This window comes from Homo sapiens, chromosome 5, assembly GCF_000001405.40.
Source record: "Homo sapiens chromosome 5, GRCh38.p14 Primary Assembly".
In the NCBI taxonomy this organism is placed as follows: domain Eukaryota; kingdom Metazoa; phylum Chordata; class Mammalia; order Primates; family Hominidae; genus Homo; species Homo sapiens.
Genome location: NC_000005.10, coordinates 113369306 through 113389310, shown reverse-complemented (window position 1 = coordinate 113389310; position 20005 = coordinate 113369306). Strand labels below are relative to the sequence as shown.

Sequence of the window (20005 nt, the reverse complement as noted above, 5' to 3'; positions counted from 1 at the left end):
TGGGAGGAATGGCAAAGGCATGCTGTAAAGAGGCATAGTCACAGGGGACTGTACGTCATTGAAGGCCATTTGTAACAACCTGGCAAGGTGGCGTATGGAAATACCCTGCGATTCAAGTTCTCCAGACTTAGCTCTTGATATAAAGGAGAGCTTTTATAATTTTCTTCCTCTCCTGTAACTTTGTTTTCTCATCTTGTTGGTAACAAAATGTAACTTTATATTCTCATTCATGTGTAACATAGAAGGATAACACATGTATAGATGATTGTAATTTTCTGGTTTGATATAAAAGCGTTGTTAATTCATGACCTTTGATAATCAAGCTGCTCATGTTAGTGCTGTCCCTAATTGTTTTCTCATGCCAAAATGTACCTGTTATTAATGTCCGAGATGCTAGATGATAGCATGGAAAGGGCAAGAGCTCTAGAATCAGACCGATTTGGTTTAGATTTCCAGGCTGTGCCTCATACTGTCTCTGACTCTTTCAACTGTCATATCATAATCTGTAAAATGGGGACATGTTAGTCTATTCTTGCGTGGCTGTAAAGAAACACCTGAGGCTGGGTAATTTATAAGGAAAAAAGGTTTATTTTGGCTCACTGTTCTGCAAGCTGTATAGGAAGTATGATGTTGGCATCTGCTTCTGGTGAAGGCCTCAGGACACTTCCAATCATGGCGGAAGGCAAAGGGGAACCAGCATGTCACATAGCAAGAGAGGGAGCAAGGTGGGGGAGGAGGTGTCAGGCCTCTTTAAACAACCAGCTCTTGTGTGAACTAACAGGGAGAGAACTCACTCATCACCAAGGGGATGGTGCTCAACCATTCATGAGGGATTAACCCCCATGACCCAAACACTTCCTACCAGGCCCCACCTCCAACATTGTAGATTACATTTCAACATGGAATTTGGAGAGGGTGAACATCCAAACCATATCAGGGGATAATTGTAATTCCCCTGCAGGCTTGTTAGTTATTATTGTTAATTTTGTATTTCTATACTGAAAGAATTTAGCTTGAATTTAGTTTTTAAAAACTAGTACTTCTATTTAAAACTTACAATTTGACTTAATTTGGTAGAGTGCAATGAATGTATTTTGGCTTTGATCTTTTATATCAGCCTCTCAACAGCCTACACGTTTAAAATTAAAATTCAGTGTTACACATTCTACTCTGAGTTGGTATTTCTAGACCACAGTTACTTCTTTGCAGCTGTTTCTTGTAGAATGGGGCTTCTCAAGCCTGGATAGAGCTGAGTTTCTCACCAGGGTGCCCAATATATGTAAGTGGGCTGCCAGCAGGGAGGAAGGGTGGGCCTCTGTGGACAGATTGTACCACTTAGTGAGGTAGTCAGTTCCGTTCAGTATTCTTTTCCCCTGAGCAGATCACAATTCATTTTTAAAGCCCTAATCATGAAACTGGGGTATTATGAAAGATCTATGATCAACAATTATAAAACAACCATAATAATGGCTACTGTTTATTGAGTACTTAATATGTGCCAGGAACTATGTTAAGTGCTTTCTATGTATTATTTCATTTCTTTTCAGAGCAGCCCTATGAGGTAGGTACTACTACTATCCCCATTTTAAACCTACAATGACATATCAATTTATGAAAGTAGTATAATACACTGTGAAAAGTGAAAATACACAGACAGGAAAAATGAATACACCATATTTTTACCAATCAGAGAATATTAATGTTAACATTACATGAACTTCTAGAATTTGGAAAACCTCTTTATTTTTTGCTAAGCCTAAATTTAAGACTATTCTCTAAATATCTAAAAAAGAAATCCTTATTTTAGAAAGTATAATCTGAACCCTGAACTCAGAGTAAAAGCAGGATCCTTTCTTTCTGTTGGTATTCCTGCTTTAGCAATCCTAATCATCCCTAACTCTTGGATGAATCTGGCTGAATATCAGGTAGGTCTTATATGAAAATATTATATGAAAATATTACTTTAAAAACCAAACAAACATTTTTCCAGTTTATCGATTAGCTACTGATGGAAGAAAAATCACAAAATCTGAGCTTAAGAATGAACTTTAATTTGCATGAACAATAAGAACTTACTTTTGATCACACATTTTGGGGTCAGCTGGAATGACTTTTCTTAAGCTATGAGTCTTCAGATAGATTGGGGTGGCTTGTTTTGAGACCCAGGCTAGATACAGGGATAATGGCTACCATGGTATGTTTTTCTCCTAATGATGACTGAAGCAAAAGGGGACAAGCTCAACAGTATAGGCACTTGTCCAGTAATATCCGAGGGGCCAAAGCAAGTTAGATGTGAAGCCTGAAGTTAAGGGATGGGAAAGGACACACCTACCATGAATGTCCTTGGCCCTGAGACCAAGGCAAGGGTATACTTTTATAACACTACTGTGGGATAATGAAAAATTAGGACTAATATTAATAATTTAACCTGCCATACCCACTTCCATGTATATATTTATTCCTATCCTCATGCATCTACTTTACAAATATATGTGTATGTGTATATGTGTATGTGTGTATACACAGATGCAGAGGCATATATATATATATATATATGATATACATATGGACACAGACACACATGTACACAGAAGATAAAACATGTAGCTATGTGTAAAAATTCTTTATAAAACATGAAAATGGGATAGCATATGGAAGCAGGGTGATGAGCTAAAAAGGCTGGTGGCATAGGCCTGGCATAAATTGAAAGGTCTTGGAGTCTTTTACATTTATTTAGAAACACCATAAAGAGCAAGTATAAAAGCATTTCGGGGAGAAGACTAACCTAAATTTGATGATAACTCAGACCCTGGAAACTTGGGGAAGGGGACAAGGGCAGAGGTGGGGGAGGGGAGTGCAGGGCACAGAATTAGGGATAAGGAGGAGTGAATGAGAAGATATTAAAAATGCCCACAATTTTGTGAGCCTAGGGAATTTGAGAGAGACCATAGTGACATTGACCAGGAGATAGAATTTGTGAAGGGTGACTTGAAGAGTGGTCTTAGCATGATTAGGTTTCAGGTATCAGCAAACATCAAACTGGTTATATTCTCCAGATAACTGAACTTTGGTAGTATGTTGAGACAGGCACACTAATTAGCTTTGTTTGTGACAATGAACAAATTTCTAATGTCTCTTCCAGCACTTAAATTCTACAGTCCTTTGACCTTTGTTGAAACCTGCAGTTGGAGGAATATGAGCAAAATATTTGCTAAAGGAGGTTAGGTAGAGAGAAAAGAACAAGACTTGTATGTCAGGGATCAAACCGATGTCCTCCACATAAATGTTCTTGGTCAGCATAGGGTTATTGTTCTTGTTATTCTTTTTGAAATTCTTTTTTATTTTTCTTTTTTTAAATTTGAGACTCTATAGGCTGGATACACTTCTCTAGTCCAGCCACAGACCCCACCAAGCCCTCTTATCTTAGATCTATCCACTGCACACATTTACATTAAATCTAGTCCTGGAAGACATTGAGATTTTGATCCCTGCTCTTAGTCTTAGGGCTCACTGATTGCTTGTGGGAAGGTGGAAAATACTCAAAAGCAGGAAAAACCAAAGGTAGCTAAGCATTGAACCACGAAAGTCAAGATTAAATGATGTTTTAAACAAGTACTAAAGTTAGCTGATTGGTCCAGAAAGCTGAAAATCAAGCTTGTTAAAATCTCTGTTGGTTCTTTTATAACTTGACTAGGTTTTGGACTCTGCCAAGAGTAGAAATAATGTCTGTTCTATGTTCTGAAACTTTATCTTACAGTGAGATTACAGTGCTATGCTCTTCAGGTGTAAAGAAAGAACTTTATAATCCTCAATTTCAAAACAAAGAAAGGGAGAGAAGGGTGTGGAAACAGGAAGAAAAAGAGAACAAAAGATTAAAAGTTGCCTCACCATTCCAAATAATAGAGTTTTTGTTTAGAATAACCCAAATGGAACACGTTTTTTTCATACACTTATCACTTTTCTAGAAACAATGAGAAAGTTGAAAATAGGTCTAGTATGTGAATATATTTAAGAAATACCTTTTTTTTTTCATTAACCAGTTTCTCTAGCTTAAATGTCACTCATAACACATTTTCTTCTGTTCAACCCCTTCTGCAGAAATGACTTGCTAATGGTCTGTCGCCAGCTGAATATGGAAGAGTCTGTGGCTGAGATCATGAACCAGTTGGGAGCAGATGAAAATGGGAAGATTTCCTTTCAGGATTTCACAAGATGCCGCATGCAGCTTGTTCGAGAAATTAGGAAGGAGGAAGTAGATCTTTCTGCAAAGTCAGACAACTCCTGTACAAAGAAGCTGAGGGATAGAATTGCTTCCTGGCCCACGAGCAGTGACAACAGTTTGGGTAGGTATAACCAGGTGGCAGTTTTATGGCACTCCACTGGCCTTGCCTGTGATCTCTCATTAAATGAGAGTAGCCTCCCCATCATGAGGCCACAGCCTCAGCTCATACTGAGGCTGCCCTCCTGGCCACACTTTCCCTGGGGGAGTGCTCACTGTTTCCCCCAGTTCTGTCTGATGGCTTCACACTTCCCAGCTTGCTGCTTTCTTTATTTTGCTTCTTCCATTTTCTAAGTATAATAATGCATTCAAGTAGCTATTATGGAAGAAGGGCAAATGCATAAGAAAGGTAGTAACTGCATCAGCAGGCCTCAGAAGCTCTTTGGGGAGGAAGTTTCAAGGTTACATGCAGAGGCTTTTAAAAGCAATTTTTTTGGGGGGCGGGGGACGGAGTCTTGCTCTGTTGCCCAGGCTGGCGTGCAGTGGCGGGATCTCGGCTCACTGCAACCTCTGCCTCCCGGGTTCCCGCCTTTCTCCTGCCTCAGTCTCCTGAGTAGCTGGGACTACAGGCACCTGCTACCACGCCCAGCTAATTTTTTGTATTTTTAGTAGAGACGGGGTTTCACCGTATTAGCCAGGATGGTCTTGATCTCCTGACCTCGTGATCCACCTGCCTTGGCCTCCCAAAGTGCTGGGATTACAGGTGTGAGCCGCTGCGCCTGGCCTAAAAGCAATTTTTTAAATTTAAGATTAAAATCGTTTTCTATAAAGATGGTTTTTCTGTTCATAAGTTTATATTTCTTACTGGTGCAAGATAAGCAGTTGGAAAGAAAGTTCTTAATACTGTTGATAATTATTGAAATTGGGTGATGGGAACATGGGGTTTCTTGTATATATTTTTGAATACTCAGTTATACATATTTTTTAGTATGTTTGAGATTTTACATAATAAAAAGTTAAAAAGGAAAGAAAGGAGACATCTTAAAGGGTAGCCTTGACAAAGAGACGGAAGAAAGTATCTGAATTTTCAGGGTTTGTTTTTCCTTGAAAATGTGTCTTTGATCTCATTGTTTCTCTGCTAGGTAGATCTATTGGCAAGAAGTAAAGGGTCATGTTGGTTGTCCCTGTCCAAATGAGCATAGATAATTGTGTAGTGCCACATACACACACATCTTTAAACAATGCTTCTTATTATTGAGTAATGGAAACAATAAAAATGTCCACATACACTCCATGCGTTACTACCTTCATATATTCTACTTTAGCAGCAAATCAGATGTCTGGTAATGCATGTGCTCTTAACATAATATGTAGAAATACTTAATATTGAAATACAAACTTTCTGAGTATTCAAGTAATATATGTTCATTATAAAAAAACACGGGGAAAAAAAGGCAAGCAGAAGAAAATAAAAATCATACTAATCCTACCACCTGGAAATAATAACTACTGCCTACGTTTGATATACTTACTTCTGGAATCTTTTCCTCTCCCTCTGTCTCTCTCGTCATGTGTGTGATTTGTGTTTTACTAATTTTTCCACATATCTTCTGCATATTTTGTATCTTGCAGTTTTTCTTTTGCATTTTCTTCATGCTTTTAATGGTATTTGAAAGCATGATTCGTAAGTTTGCATGACACAAAATAGACACTCAGTAAATATTTATTAAATGATGAAATGAAGGAATTTTTTCTGCTAAGCTGTATTTTCAGATTTTTCTGCCAAGAACATGGATTTCTTCTATAAACACATAAGTGTACACACATACATAGTTGAAGTGTTAAGTACATTGTGGAACACCCCAACCAATAATTGCATACTATATAGCATTAAAATAATGTGTAAATGTGTATCAAAATATGTACACAGAAGGAAATTTTTTGTGAAAAAAAATTGTTTATGTGTAGTAGATATTTATAAAAATCCTAAAAGGAACTGGTTTGAAAGAATTGCTGCACACATCTAATTGGTTTGACCAGCTTGGAAGACTGTCCTGACCAGAGAAAGGATTGAAAAACAATACCCTTTCATCCTTTTATATAACCTTATACCCTTGGGAAAAGAGGTGGTAACTGACAGGAGGTGATTCATAAAACATGTCCTGAACTGAGGAAGTGCCAGCGGCTGTGAAACCTCCTACCACTTTCTCCTGGTAGTTAAGAGTTCAGAGTCAGACTATTTGAGTGAGAATCCTGTTTCTGATGCTTACTGTCTACATGACACTAGACAAATTATTTAACCTCTCTGTGTCTCATTTTCCTCAAATGTAGAATGGGGGCAGTTGTTATTTGGGGGAATAAAGGAGCTAATATATATGTAAAGTCCATAAAGCAATGCCCCACACATAATCACTAAATACGTGTTAAACTAATATTCTTATTATTATTACCACCCGGTTTTAAGTCCTGGGGATTGGGAAAACAACTCCCTATTCAGCCTAACGTAAATCAAATACATCCAAAAATTGACACTAATTAGGCTGGGCACCATGGCTCACACCTGTAATCCCAGCACTTTAGGAGGCCGAGGCGGGAGGATCACTTGAGGTCACAAGTTTGAAACTAGCCTGGGCAACGTACAAAAAATTTAAAAGTTAGCCAGGTGCAGTGGTGCATGCCTGTTGTCCTAGCTACTCAGGAGGCTGATATGGAGGAGTTACTTGAGCCCAAGAGTTAGAGGTTGCAGTGAGCTATGATTACACCACTGCACTCCAGCCGGGGTGATAGAGTAAGACCCTGTATCCAAAAAAAAAAAAAAAAAGGACAATAATTAGATAAAGATATACATGTTCAATTAGTCCTTCTCTTTTCTATACTATTAACCTCTCCTTCTGACTCTATTTAGGTAAACTCCAGGATCTCCCTTCTGGGGGTGGAGGGAAACCCTCTCTTGACTTTGTGTCCCCATTAGTACTGCCTTATTTCTCTGACCCTTTCTTCAGTGAACTCTTACCATCTTCAGTCCTCACCACTCTGCTGGCCCTGCTCTTGCTGCCTCCATGTTGGCAATCCAAAGATTCCTTTTCTGCCCACATCTAAATCTTTGGATTTTGACCCAGCTGACCACTCCTTCATGCTAGCTATACTTTATTCTCTTGGACTTCTTGACACCATGTTCTCCTGTTTACCATTTTAGCTTCCCTTTCTCAGCCTATACTACTTCCAAATTTGGAGGTGCCTTGGGGTTACATTCTCTCCTTAGATGATTTCTTGTGGTCCCATGGGTTTATTTATTTATTTATTTGAGTCAGGATCTCACTCTGTCACCCAGGCTGGAGTGCAGTGGTGCAATCATGGCTCACTACAGCCTCAACCTCCTGGACTCAAGTGATCCTCCTGTCTCAGCTTCCCAAGTAGCTGGAACTACAGGCATGCACCACCAGGCCCAGCTAATATTTTGTATTTTTTTGTGGAGATGGGTTTCACTATGTTGTCCAGGATAGTCTCAACTCTTGGACTCAAGCCATCTTCCTGCCTCAGCCTCCCAGAGTGCTGAGATTACAGGCAAGCACCACCATGCCGAGCTTGGTCGTATGGTTTTAAATACTAGTTTTGTACCAGTAACTCCCAAATATAATTATATATATCCCTGCCCTTTCCTGTGATCTCCAGAATCAGGTTAAATTGACATGTATTCCTAGATATCTTACAGACTTCCAACCTTAATGCAGTGAAAAAGAACTTTTGATTCTGTCCCCTACTTTTTCTCCCAGGCTTACTAGTCTCCCAGATAACCTTTACCTAGGAAATATCTGCATTTAGTAAATATCTGCATCTTGGAAATATTTCTGTTCATCTGTTTGCTCAAGCTGGCAAGTCCCACTGTCTCGCGTGCAAAAGTATAGCCAGAATCTGCCCACTTCCTTTGCTCTCCTGCCATCACCGTGTCCAAATCACCATCATATCTTGCCTTGCCTACTAAAATAACCTTTAACTGGCCTCCCTGGCCCCTTCCTTGGCTCCTGACATTTTATTTTCTACCCTGTAGTCAGAATTGTCTTTTAAAGTTATAAAATCATGCTTAGTTCAATCCCATGTCTAAAACATTCTGTGGCTTCTGTATCATCTTAAAATAAAGTCCAAATTCCTTACCACAATGTGGTGCACACCACCCACTCTGAGTTGATCTCATCTTGCTCCCCTGACTTACCATGTTTGCCACAGTCACACTGGCCTTCCTGCTTTTCCTCTAATTTAGCAAACTCAGCCTGTCTCTGAGCCTTTACTAGGCACTTAACCGGGCTTAAATATTTCCTCTTCAGAGAGGCCTTTCCAAGCTCAAGCAGCCTCTCCTCCTTTCCTCATTCACATGCCCTTAACTGCTTCATACCACTCACCCTTATCTGACATGAGTTATGTACCTCCTTGAATATTTACTTATCTATCTTTCCCCATACAAATAAATTTCCACCGGATTACTAATGACGTTGATTGTCATGTTTACTGCTATACTCCAGCACTTAGAATAGTGCCTGGCACAGGGAAGATGCTTGGTGCATGTTTGTTGAATGAATGAATGAATGAATGAATGAGCAATGCACTGTCATGCTACTTTAGGGACACAGGGAAGTGCAGTGCACAGTTCCAGACACTAAATAACTTATAATGTGATTGTGGATGCATAAGCACATGACAAATTAAGTGACAATAAGCTTTAAAGTAGAGTTAACAAAAGTTTGGAAGCCATCGAATGGTACAGAAGTTATGGTCTGCTCTGTAAGAGGAGCTAAGAAATACTGTGAACAGGAGTTTCAGGAAATGGTTACCTGTGACTGTAGGATGGAGAGAAGTAGAAAGAATGTTGTGCTGTTGTGAGAAAAGCCTAAGAAAAACTTCGGTTTAATAGTTAAGTGCCAGAAGAAGTTTATTGTCAGCCTCGACATTTCACAGCACATCTACAGCAGGGAGCTGGGTTGGCAGAAAAAGACTAGTCAAAACATTACATGCTCAGCTCGGAAGAGGAATTTCCATAGATTCATTCCTCCTAAGTGTTTTCTGCAGAACACTGATTTAAAGAGATGGTTATAAATATTATGTGAGGAAGGAATTTCTTTGTTAAGTACATGTGAAAACTTTGGGTTAAACTAGATTATAGTTTTCTTTATGGCAAGACATCTCGGAGCCTTTAATATGCTATTGTTTCTTGAAAGTCTCCAGAAGAAGAATAAAATATAAGCATTTTCCACACTTAATTGACTATAAACTTTTACTCACAAAGCTTCTCTTAGGCCATGCATTCTCTGCTCAAAAGTTCTTTGGGTGAAAATTAAGGCACCTGAACAAACACGTCATAACAGATTTTTATATCGGTTTAAGCCATCCCAGAAACAATATTTTTAAATTTTTATGTGTTTTAGACATCAGCTATACAATTTAATACTTGTAGCAATAATACAAATGTTTTAAAATTACTAGTATTTATTAGCATGAGACAATTTGCTAGGCACTTTACTTGTATTATAATGCTAGAAAGATAGATCCCAATTTCACCACTGAGTTGCCATGGAACTTAGGCTAAGTTCCTGATTGTTCTGAGCTTTAAGTTTTTTATGTCTCAAGATAAAGCGGTAACACAAACATTATAGGGAAGTTGGAAAGATTTAGTGAGATATTACATGTAAAGTTCCTACATAGAGCTTAAAATATCACAGGTTTTCAGTATATAATCGTGTTGTTATCATTATCATCTCTAATCCTTGCAACTACTTTCCTCATCTAGAATAGAATGCTCCTTCTATACAGGAGGAAACTGAGGCTGTAAGCCACAGAGCAAGTAAGGAATAGAGAACACTCAGTCTGTTGAAAGAGATGATTGAGTCTCTTGCAACTTTAACTTAGAAAACTGACGTGATGAGCAAAGTGCAAACTGAAAATAACACTGCCACCCAGAGGCCACTCCCAGAAATGACAGACATATGGTCCTCAGGGACTTGAGGCAGGGTCTGAGGGCAATTCGTGTTAGTGAAAGCCCATCTTGTTGGCAGCAAAGTGATGCATACATTATACCAGAACAGTTGTGAGGTATTCTGTATGCTACCTAATTTTCCCATGAAAAACAAATAATCTAGGTTCATTATAATTACTTGTAGATTTCATTTTGAAAAGTGTGCTTTTCTTTGTGATTGGGAAAGACTGGAGTTAAAAAAGAAATTCTAGCATTAGATATTTACATATGTTAGCAATTCCAACGGAGCCTTTGTTTAAACATGCCCTTTTGAATAAATAGTTTTTCTTTTTTACTTCAGCCAAGCTGTAAACCTTACACATGGATTCCATGTACTTGTGTCAAACATGTGAATTATGTGAAAGGGGCAGTGCTTCAGGCTGATGGCCACTGAAGGGGCAGGGATTGCCTGAGGAGAGCTGATGCATCCCTTTGAGCTGACCTAATGAGGCTGTCACCTGTCTGTGCTTCTCAGAGCTTTGGGGGCACTTGTTTTTCTTCCTTTGGTCAGGTCTCAGAGAGCCCCAAAACTTATTTCAATCAAATTCCGTAGTTGTAAAACATTGTTTAAGATAGTAGACATAACAACCTGCTAATTAGTACAATTACCTTTAATTTATACTAAGATTAGAACACCAGGCACAATTTCCAATAACCTATATCTCCAAAGACTCTTTATTGCCCTTTCCTTGAGGTAGATTCTCACCTGATGTGTCAGCCTTCATTGCTGCTCTGATGGTGCCCCATGGTCTAAGGAAAAAATAAAGTACTGAAGTTTCTCAGAAAAACTAACAGTAAAAAAAAGTTTTCTCTAATAGGAACTCAAAAAGTTAGATGAAAGAATATGTGGTTGAGACAGGAAGGACCTCAAACCCACAAGCCCAAGGGAGGAAGTATGAGGAGATATCCTGATTCCTTGGCAGATTTAAAGAAACAATAAGCAGCCTCCTGAATTTGGGTTTGATATCTTGTTTAAAAAAGTTAAAACTACAGTTTTAATTAATATATACAAAATCTATTCAGCCCTGACATATCCCAGTTTTCCAGAATGAATGCTACTATTAGATTTCATTGTTAAAAATACTGCCCAGTGAGCATAAAACCAGACTCAAGTCACACACGATAGCCTTCAGCCCCATTTGAAGGTAAAAGGGTTTTTTTTTCATTTTTGTTGTAGTTTTGTTTTATTTTACATACTCTAAGCCCTCTGTCAAAGGGTAAACAATTTAATTTATTCCAATATTTAATTGGGAGTTATAAAGGCCTTTAAAGTCTTTAAGTAATGGGTACCATTTTACATTCTATTGTTGCATACTGAGAATGCTGTGAAGCAACTATCTATAGATTAAGTTTGGGCAAATTTAGCCAAGTCTTTGATTAGCAGTTAATTTTTGTCTCTTTTTATTAATCATTGTCCTTCCTGTCCTTGAGGAGTCCCTAATTCCTATTGATTCTTCTCTTCATACTTCTCAGATTGGCAGTACCATGGTCTAGGTATGGATCCTCCCTCATCTCTTGATTACTGGAGTTTCCTCCTAGTTGTTCTTTCTGCCTGCAAGCTGTTGATTTCAGTCAGTGCTGCTATGGCTTCCTAATATTTTTGCTAGGTACTCATGATACAGCTCTCTTTTATCTACTTAATTGACTATGCTGTCACCTCTGGATGCTTTTGGATGTCAAGACTCCTAACCATCTAGTGGGCTCATTCTACTATATCACATCATGTTTCCCACTGCTTCCCACATGGGCCCTTAGCTTCAGTAATGCTGGCCTTCTTATGACCCCTATACAACCCCTCAAACCTACTTCTTGAGTTTTGTTCCTTCTGTACTATATATTAGGGCTTTTTGGTGACAAGCAGCAAACACCCAACTCTAATACTTTGAAGAAGAAGTGGGAGGTGGTGAGAGAGAATGCAAATGTGACCATATTGGAGAAGCCTAGGCAGTTAGGTCCAGCATGGATGGATTCAAAGGATCAAATGTCATCAGCCTTCCTTCTGCTGTGTCTCAGCCCTTTCCTTTAGAATTGGCTTTATTCTCAGGCTCCTGGTCATGGCTTCCAGCAGCCCAAGTCTTACAGCCATTCTGTCGGGTAGCCACAGAGAAAAGAGGGATTCTTCTCTAATGGTGGCTTCACAGAAGTCCTGGGAATTGGTCTCACTAGCTCTTCTTGGGTCATATATCTATTCCTGAACAAGTCACTCAGACTATAAGAATGCAGTGATCTGATTGGCCAGGCCTGGATTACATGCTCAGCTTGAGAAATTAGGGTAGAGTTGGCTCTATCCCCATCTTGTGGACTAAGAGCTGAGGAAAGAGCAGGTAGGGAATCAAGGTGCTGTCACTACCAGAAAGGCGAATGAGTGCCGGGCAGGGAAAAATAACAGATGCCCATTCCATGGTTTTAATGGAAGTTTTCTTTTTATGTGTATTTTCACCATCCTCAAAAGGCTTTAATAATGCTACATAATACTGATATGTGTGTGTGTGTGTGTGTGTGTGTGTGTGTGTATAAAATATGGCAACTAGGAGATTCATGTGTGTCTTATACACAACCCAATTGTAAGTTTCTAACTGAATTGGTAAACATTTTATTTTATGTCTCTTAATGTGTTTTCATTATATCTTGTGCATTTAACTGTCATTGCAATTATCAGCCACATTGTGTTATAATCATCCACTGTATATCCATCTTCTCTACTCAATTATGCATGTTGGGCAAATAGTACAGAGACTGACACAGGGCATGCATTGGGTGAGTATTTGGCCAATAAACAAATATACCAGTGAACAAAGCTCTCTGATACCCATAGCACCTAATCCCATGGACAACAACTATTTTCAATTTATTGTCAGTCTTCAAAGCATGAACCTGTTTGTTCAAGGTACAGTTATTCCTTTGAAATAAGAAATGTGTGCTTGGATCTGAGCAACTTTTAAAGAGAAAATCAGTCCAAGTAATGAGTTAAAGATCAATATTACCAAGGTTAATTTTTTTATTTTAAATCTACTCTTATCCTGAGGATATAGTCTCAAGCTGGATGAAATGAAAACACCAGAACACTGAGTTCACATCAGCTAATATCTAGTACGTGCCTTCGCTATGACACTTGCTGCTAAATTGACAGAAGAAAGAGAATGTGTGATGTGGCTGATTGAAAAACATGGCCACAATATTTTGCAGCTTTTCCCATCAAGAGGTGGAGTATTTTTTCCCCACCCCTTAAATCTAGGGTGGCCTTGTGGTTTGCTTTGAAAATAAAATGTCACAGGAATGAAATTGTGCAAGTTCTGGAGCCAAGGCCTCAAATCCCTTGCAGCTTCTTCATTCATGTCTTGGAACACCCCTGCCACCATGAAAGAACATCTGGACTAGACTAACAAAAGTTGAAAGACCACACAGGGAGGCCCAGCCAACAGCCAGCACCAAGCCCCAGACATGGACTAAGTGTGGATATCTTAGTCCCTCCAGCCCCTGTCAAGCTACCAGATGACTATAGTCACATCAGTGACCCCAGATGGGACAAGCCAAAGTACTGCTCAGCTAAGCCCAGCCCAGCTGAGAATTGTTGACCCCCAGAATCACGAGAAACAGTAAATTGTTGCTGTTTTAAGTCACTAAGTTTTGTGGTGGTTTTTTATGTAGCAGTAAACATGAAACACATAGAGAATTATCCTTAAGAAATTTGTGAAATTATTGTGAATCAAGACAAAACATATAAATAGAACTAGTACAGGATCATATATGATCAAGTGAAAAATGTGTGAAGCAAACAAGTTGTGCTATAGGAGATGAGAAAGGAGAATCATTGTCAGAAACCAGAGAAGACTCTTGGAAGAAATTAAGTCCAAGCTGATCTTGGAAAACTGGAAAAAAAAAATGGAACAATGTTGAAATAAGGAAACACACCCAGGTCATGATAAGTTGGAGAAGAGCTCAATAGAAAGTATTCAACCTGTAATTAAATTCAATGTCCCTGTGCATCATACCGAGTTATATGAACATCCAGGGAGTACATAGCTGTGGTTGGGTGTGGGAAGTACTAAAAGCTCCAAGACAAACATGGTGCATCTTTTTTTTTTTTTTTTTTTTTGAGACAGGGTCTCACTCTGTCACCCAGGCTGGAGTGCTGTAGCACAGTCACGGCTCACTGCAGCCTTGACCTCCTGGACTCAAGCCATCCTCCCACCTCAGCCTCCTGAGTAGCTGAGACCACAGGCGTGCACCACCATGCCCCAGCTAATTTTTGTATTTTTTGTAGAGATGGGATTTCACCATGTTGCCCAGGCTAGTCTTGAACTTCTGGGCTCAAATGATCCACCTGCCTCAGCCTCCCAAAGTGCTGGGATTTACAGCTGAGCCATTGTGCCCAGCAAACATGGTGCATCTTCTCAAGCATCAATTTAGTTGACTATTTGGAGGAAAAGTTATATAACTTGGTAAATTGCTTAAAATTTGTATTAATACAAATATGGCGTAGAATTAACCATTCAAATGAATTTTTAAGATGAAACATGTGACTTCAAAGAAATCTCTGGCTCGGGCGTAAGTCGGTCTGTCCCCTAGACTCTTTTGACTATCCTCTGCCTTCAGCATACTCTGGTGGAAGAGACTGAGAAATGCTTCATTGAAGGTTTCCTTTAAAAATATAAACCTCAGAACTTACTTCTCTTTTAGTTTGTCTCTTTGGGTTGTTTAGGGCTCCTGACGTTTGAGCTGACAATTGTTTTAGTACCAGACAATGATTTACAGAGTCCATCAGGATCAAGGAACAAAGAAGGTTTAAGGCTGTCAAACACTGTTAAGATCATAGCAAAGACATTTTCTGGAGCGACTATTGCAATGGCTTTGCTATTAAAAAAAAAAACAAAAAAAAAAAAAGTAGAAGCCCCAGGCTGGGCACCGTGGCTCACGCCTGTAACCGCAGCCTTTGGGAGGCCGAGGTGGTCAGATTACTTGAGCTCAGGGGTTCAAGACCAGCCTGGGCAACATGGTGAAACCCCATCTCTAAAATTAGCCAGGCGTGGTGGCATGCGCCTGTGGGCCTGTGGTCCCAGCTACCCAGGAGGCTGAAGTGGAAGGATTGCTTGAACCTGGGAGGTGGAGGTTGAGCTGAGATCACACCACTGCATTCCAGCTTGGGTGACAGAGTGAGACCCTGTCTCAAAAAAAAAAAACAAAAACAAAAAACCTCAGCTTCTCAACTTAGCATGTATAGGGAAGCAATCCTGCAGTGAAAATGTGTTAACACAGGAAAATCTTGATTATGCACGGGTAGCTTTTATGTGGCAAATCTTGTTTTAAAATTATGAACATAATTAAGGATATTACATGACAGTATCCTTTATATATTTCACAGCTTTAAAACTAACCATTTTTTTCCAACCCATGGAAAATATGAAACAAAGAAATAGAGGAAGAATCTGTTTAAATTTATCTTGAGAGGTCACGTCATCTGCCATGAGGAGCGAACAAGAGTTCTTCTGAACAAGGGAATGAAAGAGGAAACTGTAAACCTTCCCCCACCCCATTCTCAGACAACTGAACCCATATATTAAAATGTAAGTACAAAACAGCTGATGAAACCAAAGATAATAAATGACTTTGACATCTAAGACAGAGTAATCAATAGTCAGATGTATGTTATTTATCTATCAGAATGAAAATATTTCTGTATTAGGTATATTTGAACTTCAGTTCTTTGTATTTAATTTTTTTTTAGTGCAAACTTTATTATTTTTTAGAATATTTTAGAAACATATTTTATATGTGTGTCTTTTCAGAGTATGTCACATGCAGAATTGTGTTGTGGACACCTTCATTCATTGAAACAACTCTCTTCTCAATCAGACACCCAAGTTGCACTCTTAGAAACATCTTTTATTTATTTTATTTTATTTTTTTTTGAGAGGGAGTCTCGCTCTGTCCCCCAGGCTGGAGTGCAGTGGCGCGATCTCGGCTCACTGCAAGCTCCGCCTCTCGGGTTCACGCCATTCTCCTGCCTCAGCCTCCCGAGTAGCTGAGACTACAGGTGCTCGCCACCATGCCCGGCTAATTTTTTTGTATTTTTAGTAAAGACGGGGTTTCATGGTGTTAGCCAGGATGGTCTCGATCTCCTGACCACGTGAACCGCCCGCCTCGGCCTCCCAAAGTGCTGGGATTACAGGCTTGAGCCACCACGCCCGGACAGAAACATCTTTTATACATGTGTCTTTAAACAGTGTTTTAGGCTGGGCTCAGTGGCTCATGCTTATAATCCCATCACTTTGGGAGGCCAGGGTAGGTGACTGCTTGAGCCCGGGGAGTTAAAGGCCACAGTGAGCTGTGATTGCACCACTGCGCTCCAGCCTGGGTGACAAAGCGAGACCCAGTCTCTGAAAAAGATTAACAGTGTTTTACATGCAGAACAATATAGTGATCACATTCATACATTCATTCTTAGTGTAAACTTGAAATTCTGTACTTATGATGTTATATTCTATTTGTGGTACATTGGACATTATCTCTTAATTCTGTATTCACTGCAGACAGAAGGAAAAACTAAAGAGCAATACAAAGAAAAAATACAATATATATATTTTTTAAACTTCTAAGAAAACATGTACAAGGTCACTGGATTCACAAATATTTCTGAGGTATTAAATATTTTAGATTTCTTTTGTAGATCAGTACCTTGTGTAATTCAGTATGTTGTTTTGTGGTGGTCTAAATTCTTTTAAAATGATGTCTCAAGTAGTACAAACTGGTTCAGTCTTACTTGCTGATTTTGTCTTTTGTCTGTGTGTTTCACACTATTTGGTGCTGCTCTTTTTGAACCTATTATTTTAGCTTGCTTCTTAATGGCATTAATCACTTCATTTTAGTCAGCATAAACCAAGAAAGTTCGTGGGAATCCAGGTGTGTTTATCTCAGGTGGTAATTCTGGCATGAAGGGAGTCAGTGATTACCTGTGTTGATCATATCTTTTGGACCACACATAACACAATGAAATTGTTCATCTATTTTCTCTCTCCGGCATGATTTAACTGAAGCAATTCATTAAGTGTCATTGTTTTTATGGGATGTTGAAGCCATTCCAATTTCTGTGGCAGTGATACAACTTGGCGTGATTTTAGTTATTTTTCATGGAAGAAAAATGATTACTTGGCTGAGATAAAGGCTCAGTCTGCTTACAGAAAGTGTTTAATTTGGCCAGACTATTCCATTGTCCATTGTTCATTCTACAGAATCTGTCACTCAACATTATAATCACAGAAAGCTCAGGAAGGCTTATTTTGCTTCCTGTTTTATCTCTTGTAAGACTAATGCAAATTCATTGGAGAACATAAATGAGAGGGCATTAGTAAATGATTAATGTTTTAACTAATGTTTTGTGTATAAGTTTAAATCCGTTAAATTTATATGGTTGTTTTGGAAGAATTGTGTATGGTTTCCAGTTGATCCATTTAAGTTTGCTATCTACAAGAAAAACATTTTTCTCCTAGTTGAAGCAGAATTTAATCTGGTACTTCATATATTTGTTTGGCTCTCATTTTATGCATGCATATTTGTCAGTTCTAGATAAATTTTAACACAAAAATATTACCGTGTCAGATTTATTTCTTTGTATAATTATAGTGTTTTCTTTGATTTATCTGACTTGAGTACTTTGATAAAATTTTGCCCTTGAATTACAAGATTATAGCCAAGAAGGTCTGTTAAATATAATTTAATTTCATTCTCTGTATAGGATAGATAAGGAAATGGAGACCTAGAGGACTAAATGATATTGCTGAGGTCACAAAACTAATTGTGTCATGGCTGGGACTAGAATGGAACTCTCCTGGCTTCTGATTCAACTGTCTTTTTTTACTTTCTGTTTTTTGAGACGGAGTCTTAGTCTGTCACCCAGGCTGGAGTGCAGTGGCACAACCTTGGCTCACTGCAACCTCCGCCTACCAGGTTCAAGTGATTCTCCTGTCTCAGCCACCCAAGTAGCTGGGATTCCAGGCATGCGCCACCACACCCGGCTAATTTTTTTTGTCTTTTTAGTAGAGATGGGGTTTCATCATGTTGGCCAGGCTGGTCTCGAACTCCTGACCTCAAGTGATCCACCTGCCTCTGCCTCCCAAAGTGCTGGGATATGCAAGCGTGAGCCACCATGCCCAGCCTCAACTGTCTTTCAGCTAATTCACACTGCTGTATTATTTCTCCCGTTTTCTTGTGCTATATTAATAAAATCTTAGAATTTAGGTCTCTAAGATGGTTTTTCTTGTTAGAAATTTCTGTATAGATGTTTAGAATCTGCAGACTGTGTGTTGAAGGGGAGGGGGTGTCTGTGTATGCATATATGTTCAATGCTGGAAAATGGTTTTGCTTTTTTGAAATACAATCTCAAAAATTTCAGTGCTGATGACTAAATTTTAAGTGATTTTTAAGTAGAACAGAACTAACAAAATATATCTATGGATCAGTCCATATTCTACCAGTCTGCAGCTTCTGTTAGAAGAAAGACCTTAACTCAGTAGAGGAGGAGATGGCTTCTTTCTGAGCCTTCATCTCTTGCTTTTAGAAAAAGAGGAATCAGACTATCTAGTCTATGTTTCTGAATGCTGGGAACAGAAATGAGGATAGGATTGGGCTAGTACCCACGGTCACTTCTGATACTCCTTATTATCTAGTTTTGTGACGTTTCTGTTAATTTCTCTTTAGACATTAATAAAATCTTCTATAATGGTGTCACTTTGCCCTGTTTGGGATGTCAAAGAAGAACAGGCTTCCATTTTTGGGCCTCAGTGTCCAAAGGGAAAAACCTTCGCCTCTTCATGGCCTAGGAATGGTTACAGGGATAATTAGAGGAAAATCCTTAAGGGGAAGGTGAATCATAGAAGGCAACAGTTGGGATTATGAGGGTTCTGCTACGTCATCCATTGTGGAGATTCTCCCTCCATTGCCAACTGTGTAGAATAAGAGGTTTGCTTTTATTTAGGGAGTTGTCTGTTTCTTACACCTTTCTGCTGATTTGCATTGATGTTGACTAAGTTATATCCTCAGAGTTTATTCCTTTGGTTTATCCCCAAGAAATACTTTTGTTCTTGTTTTAACAACCAAATACCAGAGAATATGTTTAGTCTTATCAGTCATTCATACTGTGTATGAATAAAATGATAGATTTTTTACTTGAATCAGTTTTAATGAGGGAAACAGACAAGAGAGAGATTTTGAAGGAAAGAAGTAGGGTGAGGGAGGATTAGAGTTATGGAAGAAACCTAAGGAAGGGAGAGGGAGGTAGGGCTTATGAAAAGCACATTTTGTCTGTTTCACTTTTGTCTATGCCTGGTCTGATAAAGTTCATTTAGTATGACATAGATCAGCGTTTCCTAAATTGGGCCCAACAGACTACCATAGTTTTAAGAATGGTGAGCTGAGATCTCAGAGCTTAAATAGGTTATGTAGCCCAAAGGTGGAAACAACCAAAGAGCAACAAACATCTGAAGAATTCCTCTAAAATAAAAGATAGAGACCAAATCAATAGAAAAAGTAACTTAAAGGGAACAGAGACTCTGCAGAGAGAACACTCAAAAAATCTACCATTAATATACTCTGAAAAAGAGAAGAAAATGTTGTATCCATGAAAAAGAATGGGGTAAAAGAGGCATTTTTTAAACTCTGGAAAAATATATTTGTGATATTATAAAATATATATTTGGTCTTTGTCCTTATTTTCTGGCATACAACACTTCATATCCTTAAAATCTCCAAATGTGAGGTATTTTTATGTGCTAATGAGTTGACTGATG

General features: G+C 38.8%; 1 protein-coding gene across 1 annotated transcript in view; it reads left to right on the top strand.

Moving 5' to 3' along the window:
- MCC (MCC regulator of Wnt signaling pathway) overlaps nt 1-20005 on the top strand; it is a 466348-nt gene that overhangs the window by 99143 nt on the left and 347200 nt on the right. The window contains exon 2 of the mRNA NM_001085377.2: nt 4099-4343. Within this exon, the coding sequence (NP_001078846.2) occupies nt 4099-4343 (245 nt within the window). The remainder of the gene's footprint in view (nt 1-4098; nt 4344-20005) is intronic.